Source organism: Homo sapiens, chromosome 2 (genome assembly GCF_000001405.40).
Source record: "Homo sapiens chromosome 2, GRCh38.p14 Primary Assembly".
In the NCBI taxonomy this organism is placed as follows: domain Eukaryota; kingdom Metazoa; phylum Chordata; class Mammalia; order Primates; family Hominidae; genus Homo; species Homo sapiens.
In genome coordinates this window covers 240,633,282-240,646,572 of record NC_000002.12, presented here as the reverse complement: position 1 = coordinate 240,646,572, position 13,291 = coordinate 240,633,282, and the positions used below count along the sequence as shown (strand labels likewise).

General features: G+C 58.2%; 2 annotated features.

The window, feature by feature from the left end:
- Window positions 994-1,493: an enhancer, noted in NCBI's record as "H3K4me1 hESC enhancer chr2:241584497-241584996 (GRCh37/hg19 assembly coordinates)". NCBI's record gives its function as "activates a minimal SCP1, AML or CMV promoter by ChIP-STARR-seq in primed H9 embryonic stem cells {active_cell/tissue: H9 hESC(primed)}" and the evidence as "EXISTENCE:reporter gene assay evidence [ECO:0000049][PMID:30033119]".
- Window positions 4,428-4,965: an enhancer, noted in NCBI's record as "H3K27ac-H3K4me1 hESC enhancer chr2:241581025-241581562 (GRCh37/hg19 assembly coordinates)". NCBI's record gives its function as "activates a minimal SCP1, AML or CMV promoter by ChIP-STARR-seq in naive H9 embryonic stem cells {active_cell/tissue: H9 hESC(naive)}" and the evidence as "EXISTENCE:reporter gene assay evidence [ECO:0000049][PMID:30033119]".

Sequence of the window (13,291 nt, the reverse complement as noted above, 5' to 3'; positions counted from 1 at the left end):
CTCTGTCTACTTGCAGCTGCCCTGGCAGAAGGGGGCACAACCAGAAGAAAAGAGCCTTCACTTGCCTGGACGCCCAGGACACCCAGCCCGAAGCCGGGCACGCCACCGTGCCGTCGTGTCTCCTGCTGGCTACAGACAACGTCACAGGAAGACAACGTCACAGGAAGACAACGTCACAGGAAGACAACGTCACAGGAAGACAACGTCACAGGAAGACAGCACCAGGAGCCTGCGTCTGTGAGGAAACAAAGCGAAAGACACCATCAGGTACCTGCAGAAACAGCCCTGGCCCAGGTGAGGGACTGTTTTTTGTTGTCCAGAGACAGCTCCAGCCTGGCTTTGTGCCGCCTGCCCATCAAAGATGACACATACCTGTCACCACCGCCCATCCCTGACACACCCAATCCAGAGCCAATGTCTGCTTCTTCAGAGCCTGCCCTGTCACCCAACACAAGCCCACTCCTGTAACGAGTGCTCCTGCCCTTCTCCACCTAGAGGGCTCATTGCACAGCATTTCCCAAGACGTGCAGGCAACCTTTAGCTCCAGCAGGCAAGAAACCTGGCACTGGCTGTTGGCAGGTGCCTTCCTGGCAGGCTTTGGCAGGTGGGCATCCATACAGGTGACAGTTCTGTCGAAGGCATCACTGTCACATGGCATGGTGGCCATGCATCCCATCCCCTCTCACGTCCAGATCCCGAAGACAGTGCCGCGTCATTCCGATGGGCAGCGGGCTATTCCTGGGACCCTCCAGACCCTCGGACTACTTATTTGAAGTCTAATATGGAGCTGCTGCGATATTTTGGCTATGAATTAGTGACGATTTGGGGCAATATTAGTCTAATGTTTGGACAGCGACAAAGACAGGGACCAAGGCCTACAGCCCCAGCAGTTCCCACAGGGCTGAGACTGGAGAAACATTGGAAGCTGACTCGCAGATCACCTGAAGGGAGGGTCCAGGCAAGCAGTCATCCCTCGCCTGGGAGCCACCCCAGGATGCCCGCCGCCCCCTTGGAGCTGGGAGGTGGGAATCGCCCGCCCACTCTGCCACCCAGGCTGCGCTCCCAGCAGGGAAGCTGCGCCCAGCCATGATATCAGGTGGCTGAGCCCCATCTCCAGGCCTGAGTGTGGCCTGGAAGCCCCAGTCCTTAGGGCCTGGTGCTGGGGCCCCAATTCTGAGGTGGGCTCCAGTGGCAAGTCCAGGCTACGGCTCCTTCCTAAGTCAGACCCTGCGATTCTCCTGGCCACCACCCCAGGGGAGCAGAGCCAGGGGCTGAGAGACACCTCTCCCCAGCATGGCTGAGAATGTAGGGCAGGAGGCTCCTTCCCTCTCTCCAGGTGAGCAGCAGGCAAGAGGCTCGGGGCAGAGGGGTCAGGTGCTCAGGGGAATGTCTCCCAAAGGCTTGGGAACCATGAGCCAGGCTGACCTCCAGCCCAAACAGGACATGGAAGCAGAAGGCAAGGACGGCTGTGGCTGACTCGGGCCGACCACCATCCCCAGTCCCACCCACAGCACTGTTGAAACCCAGACAGGGGCTGGCTCTCCCCATCCCCCACGGCAAGGCTCTGGGGTGACCCCTGCTGTCTGGGGCAAGTGGAGACTCCCCTGGCCACAAAGCCACAGAGACGACTGGCTCCCCGTGTGAGACAGCCTTGCACAGGCTGATTCTGACAGGCAGTGTGGGTTCCCATGTCCTCAGGACCACGGCTGGGATGAGGGTTGCAGAGGCCAGAAGGTCCCTGACCTCCAACATCTTCCTGTGTAGCTGGGGAGGCTGAAAGGGGCCCATGTCTGTGCCCTGAGGGTGGGATGCTCCGCTGATGCTCTGGGCAGGATTGTAGAGGCTGGGACAGGAGGAGGGGAAAGAAGGGGAGAGGAGAGAAGAGGGGAGGGGAGGGGAGGAGAGAGGAAGGAAGAGAGGGAGGAGATCTGCAAACAGTGCAGGGGCTGGTGCGCCTGGGGGAAGAGTGGGGCAGGGCATTGAGCCTGGGCCTCCCCCAACTCCTTACTCCCCTCACCCAGGCTCACCAGAGGCTGTCGAGAACACCCACCCTGCTCCCTCGCCTCAGGCATCCCCAGCATATTTCGAAGCCCTGCAGCCAGCAAGAGTCCCTCGGGACTGCCTCCTGCCTGGGCTTCTCTCCGGAACCCACTGCCCGGTTGTTAGGGAAGCATCTGCGCTAATCCCACAGCTCAGTCATGCCAGATCCTCAGAGCAGGAGTAAATGGATCCCGAAACCCACGGCCGCTGTTGGGGGAGGCAGGGGACCTTGGGGTTGGCTCCCAGCCCCTCTCTAGCCGTTCCTCTGAGGAATCAAGACACGGGGGTCACGGACAGGAGATTGGGCCACTCAGCTCAGCCAGCCTTGAGTGTGAGGACCATGGGAGGCACCAGACCTGTCTGAGCCTGGAGAGGGCTTCCTAGGAGGAGGTGTTACCAGGCTGAGGCTTGAGGGTTGAGTTGGTCCGATAAGTGGGCAGCCCGATAGATGTAGGGATGGCGGATGGCTTGGTCTGCCCAGCACCTAGAGATCGAAGGCCAGAAGTGGTACGTGGTGGGAGTGGCTTGAAAGCAGCTCTGCTTCCACCCGTGAGGACAGCGGTGTTCAGACCTCTCACTGTGGGAATCTTCATTAAACTAAAGCTCAGCTGGAGCCCCCGTCCATGAAAGAATGGAACAGATGATCTCCGCCACCCACCGTGTGCAGCTCTGAGCCTGGAAATGCTCGCCATGGCCCGTCGCACCGGCCACGCACCCTTCTGCAGATGAAGAAGGTGAGGCACAGAGAGGAAGCTTCCCCAGGGTAAGCAGGGCGGGGTGCGTGGCCTCTCTGCTGCACCACCCTCCCAGGAACAGCTCCTAAGTGGGGTGGGAATTCTGCAGAATCCCCAGGACCTGGCCAGCAACAGAGGAGTGAGTGGTCAGACAGGAGACAGAGAGGGCTGGGGGCTGAGGGTACTGGGGCCGTCAGGGCACGGCCTGGCCAAAGAGGAGTCAGGCACCCCCCCGCCGCCCCTCTGCCACCTGGCTTGACGAGCTGGAGGGCTGTTTGCTTGTTGGACTGGTTTCAGGTTTTCATTTCTTAAGGAGAATCCGGGTGATGGGCAATGTGTGGAGCAAAAGGAAGGCAGAAAGGCAGGTGGGCGGAGTGGGGAGACTGTGGGGTGTGCAGGCTGCAGGGCCGCCCTCCCCGACCTGCATGCATCTGGGCTGGCTGGGGAGTTCCAGGGACAGCAGGCCAGCTGCCCTTCAGGAGAACCTGTAGACCCTCAGCCAGCAGCCCCCACTCTCCCTCCCTGCTGGACACTGGAGTCTGAGCCAATAAGCCAGACCTGCCCTGGGCCTCGGGGTCCAAAGAGGGCTTTCAGGGAGGGCTGACTGCATGTGGCCTGAACACACGGTCCTGGCAGCTGCAGCTGGTGGGGGGCAGGTTCCTGGGCCTGGCAGGGTTGGGGAGGGTGTGGCAGCCTCTGTGGTATGCTGCACAGAGACCCCTCAGGACTGAGGCACACACGGCTCACTGGCCTGCTCATGACCGAAGACCCCTCCGCGCATCACCTTTGGTGATGCGGTTCAGCGGAGGCAGCTGTGTCCAGAGACTATCCCAGGGTGGTCAGCTCTGAGGGTCATCTCAGCTCCAGAGCATCCTGGGGTCACAGTGAAGTCACTGCCTCGCCTGCCCTTTTTCGCGTGGTGTTCCCAAGAACACCTGGTGAAACCCCTGCATGCAAACTCCAGTCCCAGAGGCGGCAGCCCCCTGGGGGGCGGCAGGTGGGAGGGTGGCTCAGTGCTGGGCCGAGAGGGCCTGAGGGTCTGCTCACCTGGCCAGCAGCCACAGTGCAGCAGCAGGACTCGCCTGGAGACCCCAGCCAGGCTGGCCTCCAGGAGACAGGAGGTGAGGAGAGCGGCGCCCCCTCCCTCTGCTGGTGGAAACCTCGGGAGGTCCGGGGATGTCAGGAAGACGCACGCCCTCCTGTGAGCCATGGGGGCGGAGGGGCGTGGGTGATGCCGCAGGCTGGCACCGGTGGGCCCGGTCAGGAACAAGTCCATCTGACAGCCAGAGGGCATAGGAGGGGCTCTGAGAGCAGGGCCCGTGGCACCTCCTCCACCCCCGAGAGGGTCTCCTGACCACCGGTGCCCATCTCTGCCCTCTCCTAAGCTCTCTGGGTGGCAAGGTCTGGAAGCCTGATGTTCCCCAGACCTCCTTGCTCGTGGGGCCGGGACGTGGGTGGGGAGGTGGGGGCTGACCTTCCCCAGGGCCAGGTGAGGGCCCCACGCGTGGCTTCTCCGTGCGGGCTCCAGCGAGGTCGGGCCTTGCGTGCCGTCGTCTAGATGGCTGCTCTGGGGAGACAGCCCCGCGTTGCACTGGCGTCCTGGGTGCTAGACGCTGCACTCCGCCGCCCTCCCTCACAGCAGGGCCCGCTTGGGCCAGGCAAGGCCCTGCAGCTGCGCTGGGCTGACCTGGAGGCCACAACCCCCCTCAGAGCCCCCATATTCCTTTCCCAGGCCTCCCAAGCGTCTCAGGTCTTACTCTCATTGTGCTTGAGGAAGATTCTTTTCCCTGCACTGAGCCCTGATGATACGCTCTCCCACACAGAAGACTGGAGATGTATTCCTAGGAAAAATTCCACAGGCCTGCAGATGGTGGGGACAGCGGGGACACTAGGGACACCTAGTGTGTAGGAGCTTCGGGGTGCCACTGGGCCCCGACCGAGCGTGTAGGAGCTTCGGGGTGCCACTGGGCCCCGACCGAGCGTGTAGGAGCTTCGGGGTGCCACTGGGCCCCGACCGAGCGTGTAGGAGCTTCGGGGTGCCACTGGGCCCCGACCGAGCGTGTAGGAGCTTCGGGGTGCCACTGGGCCCCGACCGAGCGTGTAGGAGCTTCGGGGTGCCACTGGGCCCCGACCGAGCGTGTAGGAGCTTCGGGGTGCCACTGGGCCCCGACCGAGCGTGTAGGAGCTTCGGGGTGCCACTGGGCCCCGACCGAGCGTGTAGGAGCTTCGGGGTGCCACTGGGCCCCGACCGAGCGTGTAGGAGCTTCGGGGTGCCACTGGGCCCCGACCGAGCGTGTAGGAGCTTCGGGGTGCCACTGGGCCCCGACCGAGCGTGTAGGAGCTTCGGGGTGCCACTGGGCCCCGACCGAGCGTGTAGGAGCTTCGGGGTGCCACTGGGCCCCGACCGAGCGTGTAGGAGCTTCGGGGTGCCACTGGGCCCCGACCGAGCGTGTAGGAGCTTCGGTGAGACGCCTGCCCACGGTCAGTACCGAGGCTCCCTCTACCCAGACCCGCTTCTCCCTCAGACCACCTGCAGCCAGGCTCCACCCCTAGCAGGAACAAGAAGAACCTTCACGAAGAAACTAAACTGTTCCACAGGAAAGGCGCACAGACGCTGGCAGCCCGGCCAGCTGCCCCCTCGCCCCATGACCGACGCCACCTCCTGGCTGCCCAGGCTGACTGCAGCTCTCTCCTGGACCGCCGGAGCCTGGATGGCCGGGGATGGAAGGAGCTGCCTGAGCACCTTCAGCAAGGAAGGACGGTCAGGGAAGGAAGGAGGGAGGGAGGGAGGGAAGGAAGGAAGGTAGGTCAGGGAAGGAAGGAGGGAGGGAGGGAAGGAAGGAAGGAAGGAAGGTCAAGGAAGGAAGGAGGGAGGGAGGGAAGGAAGGAAGGAAGGAAGGAAGGTAGGTCAGGGAAGGAAGGAGGGAGGGAGGGAAGGAAGGAAGGAAGGTAGGTAGGTCAAGGAAGGAGGGAAGGAAGGAAGGAAGGAAGGAAGGTAGGTCAGGGAAGGAGGGAGGGAGGGAAGGAAGGAAGGAAGGAAGGTAGGTAGGTCAGGGAAGGAGGGAGGGAGGGAAGGAAGGAAGGAAGGAAGGTAGGTCAGGGAAGGAAGGAGGGAGGGAAGGAAGGAAGGAAGGAAGGTAGGTCAGGGAAGGAAGGAGGGAGGGAAGGAAGGAAGGAAGGAAGGAAGGTAGGTCAGGGAAGGAAGGAGAGAGGGAGGGAAGGAAGGAAGGAAGGAAGGAAGGTAGGTCAGGGAAGGAAGGAGGGAGGGAAGGAAGGAAGGAAGGAAGGAAGGTAGGTCAGGGAAGGAAGGAGGGAGGGAAGGAAGGAAGGAAGGAAGGTAGGTCAAGGAAGGAAGGAGGGAGGGAGGGAAGGAAGGAAGGAAGGAAGGTAGGTCAAGGAAGGAAGGAAGGAGGGAGGGAAGGAAGGAAGGAAGGAAGGTAGGTCAGGGAAGGAAGGAGGGAGGGAGGGAAGGAAGGAAGGAAGGAAGAAAGGAAGGTCAAGGAAGGAGGGAGGGAAGGAAGGAAGGAAGGAAGGTAGGTCAGGGAAGGAGGGAAGGAAGGAAGGAAGGAAGGAAGGTCAAGGAAGGAAGGAGGGAGGGAGGGAAGGAAGGAAGGAAGGAAGGAAGGTAGGTCAGGGAAGGAGGGAAGGAAGGAGGGAGGGAAGGAAGGAAGGAAGGAAGGTAGGTCAGGGAAGGAGGGAGGGAGGGAAGGAAGGAAGGAAGGAAGGTAGGTCAAGGAAGGAAGGAGGGAGGGAGGGAAGGAAGGAAGGAAGGAATCAGAACAAAGGAAAACGAGGAAATCAGAGGAGACAGAGATCATGGGGAGCAGAGGGGACTTGAAAACACGTGTCAGCGGAACCCACCCAGCAATGAAATGAAGGAAGCAGAGTGCGGCTGTTTGGACGGGCTCCGAAGTCACCCCGCCGGGGAGGACACTGCAGAGTGCGCACACATCGCAGGCCCCATCCATGTGGAGCCCCAGAAAATGCAAAGTGGGGGATGCAGCCAACCAGTGGAGGGGCCACAGGGCAGGGGGAGCTCTGGGGACAACAGCGCGGTGACAGGCGATGGGCGGAGGCGTTGGTCCAACGTATCACGCTGTGCACCTTCAGTTCAGCTTACTGTGCAGAAGTTATACCCCTATACAGTTGTTTAAAAATGAAATAAAAAGCCAACCACAAGTGACGTCCCCAGAGAGACCTGAGAAGACGGGGCATCACAAAGTGAGAACAGGATAGTATTTTTAAAAAGGAATGACCAGTCTGGGCGCGGTGGCTCACGCCTGTAATCCCAGCACTTTGGGAGGCCGAGGCAGGAGGATCACTTGAGGTCAACAGTTCAAGACTAGCCTGGGCAACATGGGGAAACACTGTCTCTACTAAAAAGGCTAAAAATAGCCAGTTGTGGTGGTGGGCGCCTGTAATCTCAGCTACTTGGGAGGCTGAGGTGGGAGAATTGCTTGAACCCGGGAAGCGGAGGCTGTGGTGAGCCGAGATCGTGCCATTGCACTCCAGACTGGGTGACAAGAGTGAGACCTCGTCTCAAAAAATAATAAATAAATAAATAAAAAGGAATGACCAAAAACCAAGAAAGGACTCTTGAATAATCACTGGAATAAAAATTTAGTAAAACACTTGGAAAATAAAGATGAGATGGTATCCCCTGAAGGCAGAACAAAAGGTCAAAGAGATGGACAAAAGGAAACGAAAAATGAATCAATAAGGAACAGAAGGTCGGTCTAAGAACTCCAAACTCTGGCTCACGGGTGGAGGAAATTATCCAAGAAGGGAATCAAGCCCAGACAGCTGCGGTCCTCCGACTGGAAGAGCACACCATGTTCCCAGCACAGTAACTGAGTGAAAATCCAGCCTGGTGTGCATCGTGGTGAAATCCTCACGCTCTCAGTGTAAATACATATCTACCCTAAAAGCTTCCAGACTGGGAGAAGCAAACAGACAGCACAGAGCACTAAGAATCCAATGACGAGAACCTAAGTAGACACCCGTGTCCCTGACCAGAAGCCTCTCGGTTCTGGGCAGTGTGCTGGGTCCCCCGCCAGTCCTGGGTCCGTCCTCGGCAGTCATCTGGACCTTCTGCTCGTCAGTGGCTGCAGAGGGCCGTCACTTTCTGGGAGGCAGCTCGCCGTCTGCTAACAGCCACAGTTCCCCTTCTGTTCCCAAGTAGTTTGAATTGCCAAGCCCTTGCTACCCTGCATCCAACTCCAGAACCTTCCCCAGGATGACTGTGGTCCCCATACAGAACGTGTCCCTTGCCAGATACAATTCCCCAGGTGTTCACTAGCAAGGGAGGATGCGCTTCTGTGTTCCCACGTTCCAGACCCTGTACTCCTGTTGATGCAGCCTCAACTGGAATCGACTTCTAATGCTTGTTCTTTGCTAATTAATGGTTTTGCTAGTTAATGGTGACTCTGTGGTGATGAGTGTGTGGGCTGCTCCTAAGCCCTCTGGGGTCTGTGCCTGGTCTCATTTGAGAAAGAGGATTTCTGCTTGGCCTGGCCCAGCCCAAAGGCCAGACTCGGATGTGGGTGCTCAGAGTGTGTAGTTGTGATCGGGGCTCTGAAGTCAGTTCTTGGGCGCCTGACTGGTCGTGCTTTTGCCTCTGTTTCCTCTCAATGTCCTTGGGTTTTTGTGAAAGTCCAGCCGCCTCCATGGTGCTGGGAGCCAGGAGGGGATAGGAGGGAGAGTGGGTGTGTGTAGTCCCTGTCCCAGCCATCCACTGTGGAGGGGCCGTATCCTGACAGCCAGTGTGGGGCAGTAGTGCCCCAAAGCTCTGTGCACCCCCCAGGGCTGCGGGGGGTCCTTGGAGAGCTGAGGGCTCCTCCGTCCACCACCAAGTAGCCCCCACACCAGGACCTGCTGCAGAGGCTCTAGAAGAGCATCGTCTGCCTCGCCCACTGCTGTCCTCTACTCCACCCTGGCAAGGACTTCCCGAAGGGCACAGACAGGGGCAGGGTGGGGCTCTGCCAGACCAGGCACGGTGCCTCTGCAGACAGCACCCCTCTCTGTGCCTTGGAGCCCCGAGGGAGCCTCAGAATCCTTCTTGACACAGGGCTGTCGGAAGCTACCACCTGGCCAGAGTTCACCTTTCCATCTAAAGCTCTTTGCCGCTGCTGGTCTACGCCGGCCATCTGAGTGCCCCTCAGATGGGTAAGGCTGGAGCCGAGTCCCAGGCCCAGTTCTTCCTGTCTCCCTGATCCCCAAACCTGGCTGGGGACAAGACTGGACATCTGCGCTCCGTCCTGGCTCAGCTGGTCAGCCTCGCAGGAATCCACCCTGGGGCTGGGATTGTTCCATGGACTCCTCCATCTCTTGGAAATGAAAGTCCCAGAGGGCCAGGGTGGTAGAAGTCAGGGACATGGAAACTATCTGCTTGGCTGTGCCCTGGACAAAGCCATGGGGTGGGCCCCAGAGACGCTGGGTTTTGGTGACAGCAGGAGGTGTGTCAGGGCCGTGGGAGCAGGTCTGGAGGACCAGGGCAGGTGCAAGAGTCCTCAGGAAGCCCTGAATAGGGGATATGGGGCCAGTGGCAGGGCCAGGACCCATTCCAGGGGTTCCTGTAACACAGGAGGGAAACCGGGCTGGGTGGTGGGGGCAGGATGGAGAGAGGAGAGGGTGCAAAAGCCCAAGTGGGCTGCCCTCATTCTCACGCAGGTGCGTCCCCCATCCCTACTCCACCAGTAACTGTTGGTCACCTTCATGGGCCTTTCCAGAATGGTGTGACCTGGTCCCACCTGGTGCAGATCTAGGGTTTGGGGAGAGTCATGGGCAGGCTGGGCATGGCCTGTATAAAGGGCAACCAAGGGCTCGGGCCCCTGAGGAGGGGGAGATGAGCAGGGAACCCCATAGGGAGGCCTTCCAAGCAGAGGGTAGCCTGAGAGGCTTAGTGGGGTTGAGGTGAGCTCCTCGTGGGTGGGGTGGCAGCAGGCCTGGTCCTGGCTAGGCAGTGTGCCCCGTGATGGTGAATGCAGGAACAGAAGGGGGAGGGTGGGGAGAGGCTGGTGCCGTGACCACAGGCCACACCGCAGGGCTGGACACAGCCAGGCCCGGGAGCCAGGTGTACGGTTTTCAAGACCCCCTCATTCCATGCGGATGGTTGTGGGGAGGTGGGGAGAGGGAGCCGCTGGAATGGGCCAGGACTGGATGCGTGTGCAGTGGCAGGGGCAGACCCCCAGGACCTGGGTACCAGAAAACGATGGGGGCTCTGATACAGTTGTGGTGTTTCCTGACTTTGGTCTTTGAGGATCACCAAAGCCCTGGAAAGATCTGGCTCAGCCAAAGGCCATAGGTGCTGTGGGGAGGGGAAAGAACAGAGATGGAGGAGCCCAGGGCTGCTGGTCCCCCGACCCCCCCACCAAATGCACCCTGGCTCCCTGAGCTGGTTCTGGGTCCAACTTGTCCCTGAAGCCTCCAATGCCCCAGAGTTAGGGACAGGAGGGTTTCCAGCTGCAGGCAGAAGCCTGGACGCATGCATGGGCCAGGGAGCCAGCCCACCTGAAGGCAGAGGGGGACAGAGGCCTCCAGAGCTTCTGGAATTGGGACCACACTGCCTAGTCCTGAGCTACTTCTGCAGGTCACAGGAAATGCAGGCCCCGCAAAACAAAAACCCAGGGCCTCTGAAAAATCAGGAAGCTCAGGACAGTGGTGCATTAAAGTAGGTACAGCCCAGTTGAGCACAGGGCCTCCTGGGCATGGCCCTCCTGAGCATGGGACCCTGTAGAGTGCAGGCCCTCCTGGGCATAAACACTCCTGGATATGGGCTCTCCTGGGCATGGGCCCTCCTAGGAATGGACCCTCCTGGGCATAGACCATCCTGGGCATGGACCCTACTGAATATGGGTCTTCCTGGACATAGGACCCTCCTGGGCCTGGGCCCTCCTGCCATGGACCCTACTGTGCATGGGCCCTCCTGGACATGGACCCTCCAGGGCATGGACCCTTCTGGGCATGGGCCCTCCTGACATGAGCCTTCCTGGGCATCGACCCTCTTGGACATGGACCCTCCTGGATATGGACGCTCCTGGGCATGGGTCCTCCTGGGCATGGACCCTCTTGGGCATGGAACCTCCTGACATGAGTCCTCCTGGGCATCGACTCTCTTGGACATGGACCCTCCTGGGCATGGACCCTCCTTGGTTGGCATGGACCCTACTGGTCATAGAGCCTTCTGGTCATGGATCCTCTTGGGCATGGGCCCTTCTGGGCACAGGGCTCTGTTGTGTGTGGACCCTCCTGTGAATAGGCCCTCGTGGACACTCTACTGGGCATGGGTCCTCCTAGGCATGAGCCCTCCTGGGCATGGACCTTCCTGGGCATGAAGTCTCCTGGGTATAGGCCCTCCTGGGTATGGCCTCTCCTGGGTATGGCCCCTCCTGGGTATGGCCCCTCCTGGGAATGGGTCCTCCTGGACGTAGACCCTCCTAGACATGGGTCCTCCTGGGCATTGATCCTCCTTGGTTGGCATGGACCTTCCTGGGCACAGACCCCTCCTGGTCATGGACCCTCCTGGGCATGAACTCTGCTGTGAATAGACCCTCCTGAACATGACTCTACTGGGTATGGGTCCTCCTAGGCATGAACCCTCCTGGGCAGGGACCCCTGGACATGGACCTTCCTGGGAGGGACCCCGAGACATGGACCCTCCTAGGCATGGGACTGCCTGGCATGCAGCCTTATATTATTCTGTTTTCATACTGCTATAAGGAACTGCCCGAGACTGGGTAATTTATAAAGGAAAGAGGTTTAATTGACTCACAGTTCAGCATGGCTGGGGAAGTCTCAGGAAACTTACAGTCATGGCGGAAGGCGAAGGGGAAGCAAGGCACCTTCTTCACAACGCAGCAAGAAGAAGTGCCAAGCCAAAGGGGAAGAGCCCCTTATAAAACTGTCAGATTTCATGAGAACTCACTCTCTATCATGAGAATAGCATGGAAGAGACTGCACCCATGATTCAATTACCTGCACCTGGTCTCTCCCTTGACATGTGGGGACTGCAATTCAAGATGAGATTTGGGTGGGGACACAAAGCCTAATTATACCATTCTGCTCCTAGCCCCTTCCGAATCTCATGTCTCTTTTACATTTCAAAACCAGTCATGCCTTCCCAAAAGTCCCCCAAAGTCTTAATTCATTCCAGCATTAACCCAAAAGTCCAAGACCAAAGTGTCATCTGAGACAAGGTAAGTCCCTTCTGCCTACAAACCTATAAAATCAAAAGCAAGTTAGTTATATCCTAGATAGAATGGGGGTACAGGCATTGGGTAAATATACCCATTCCAAATGGGATAAATTGGCCAAAATGAAGGGGCCACAGGCCCCATGCAAGTCCGAAATCCAGGTGGGCAGTCAAAACTTAAAGCTCCAAAATGATCTCCTTTGACTCCATGTCTCACATTCAAGTCAGGCTCATGCAAGAGGTGGGCTCCCATGACCTTGGGCAGCTCTGCCTCTGTTGTTTTTCAGGGTACAGCCTCCCTTCCAGCTGCCTTCACAGGCTGGTGTTGAGTGTCTGTGGCTTTTCCAGGTGCATGGTTCAAGCCATCAGTGGATCTACCATTCTAGGGTCTGGAGGATGGTGGCCTTCTTCTCACAGTTCCAGTAGCAGTAGGCAGTGCCCCAGTGGGGATTGTGTGGGGGGGCTCCAACCCCACATATCACTTCTACACTGCCCTAGCAGAGGTTCTACATGAGGGTTCCACCAGTGCAGCAAACTTCTGTGTATCTGCAGGCCCAACACCACATGTAAGCCACCAAGGCTTGGGGCTTGCACCTCTGAAGCAAAGGTCTAAGCTGTACATTGGCCCCTTTTAGCCACTGCTGGGATGTGGGGCACCAAGTCCTGAGACTGCACAAACCAGCAAGGCCCTGGGCCCCAACGACAAAACCATTTTTTCCTCCTAAGCCTCCAGGCCTGTGATGGGTGGGGTTGCTGTGAAGACCTCTGACATGCCCTGGAGACATTTCCCTCATTGTCTATGCTATTAACATGTGGCTCCTAGTTACTTATGCAAATTTCTGCAGCTGGCTTGAATTTCTCCTCAGAAAATGAGTTTTTCTTTTCTATCCCATAGTCAGGATGCAAATTTTCTAAACTTTTATGCTCTGCTTCCCTTTTAAATGTGAGTTCCAATTCCAAATCATCTCTTTGTGAATGCATAAAATTGAATGCTTTTAAGAGCACTCTTGAATGCTTTGCTGCTTAGAAATTTCTTCTGCCAGATACCCTAAATCATCTCTCTCACATTCAAAGTTCCACAGATCTCTAAGGCAGGGGCAAAATGCTGCCAATCTCTTTGCTAAAGCATAGCAAGAATCACCTTTATTCCAGTTTCCAGCAAATTCCTCATCTCCATCTGAGACCACCTCAACCTGGAATTCATTGTCCATATCCCTATCAGCATTTTGATCAAAGCCATTCAACAAGTCTCTAGGAAGTTCCATACTTTCCCACATCTTTCTGTCTTCTTCTGAGCCCTCCAAACTGTTCCAACCTCTGACTATTA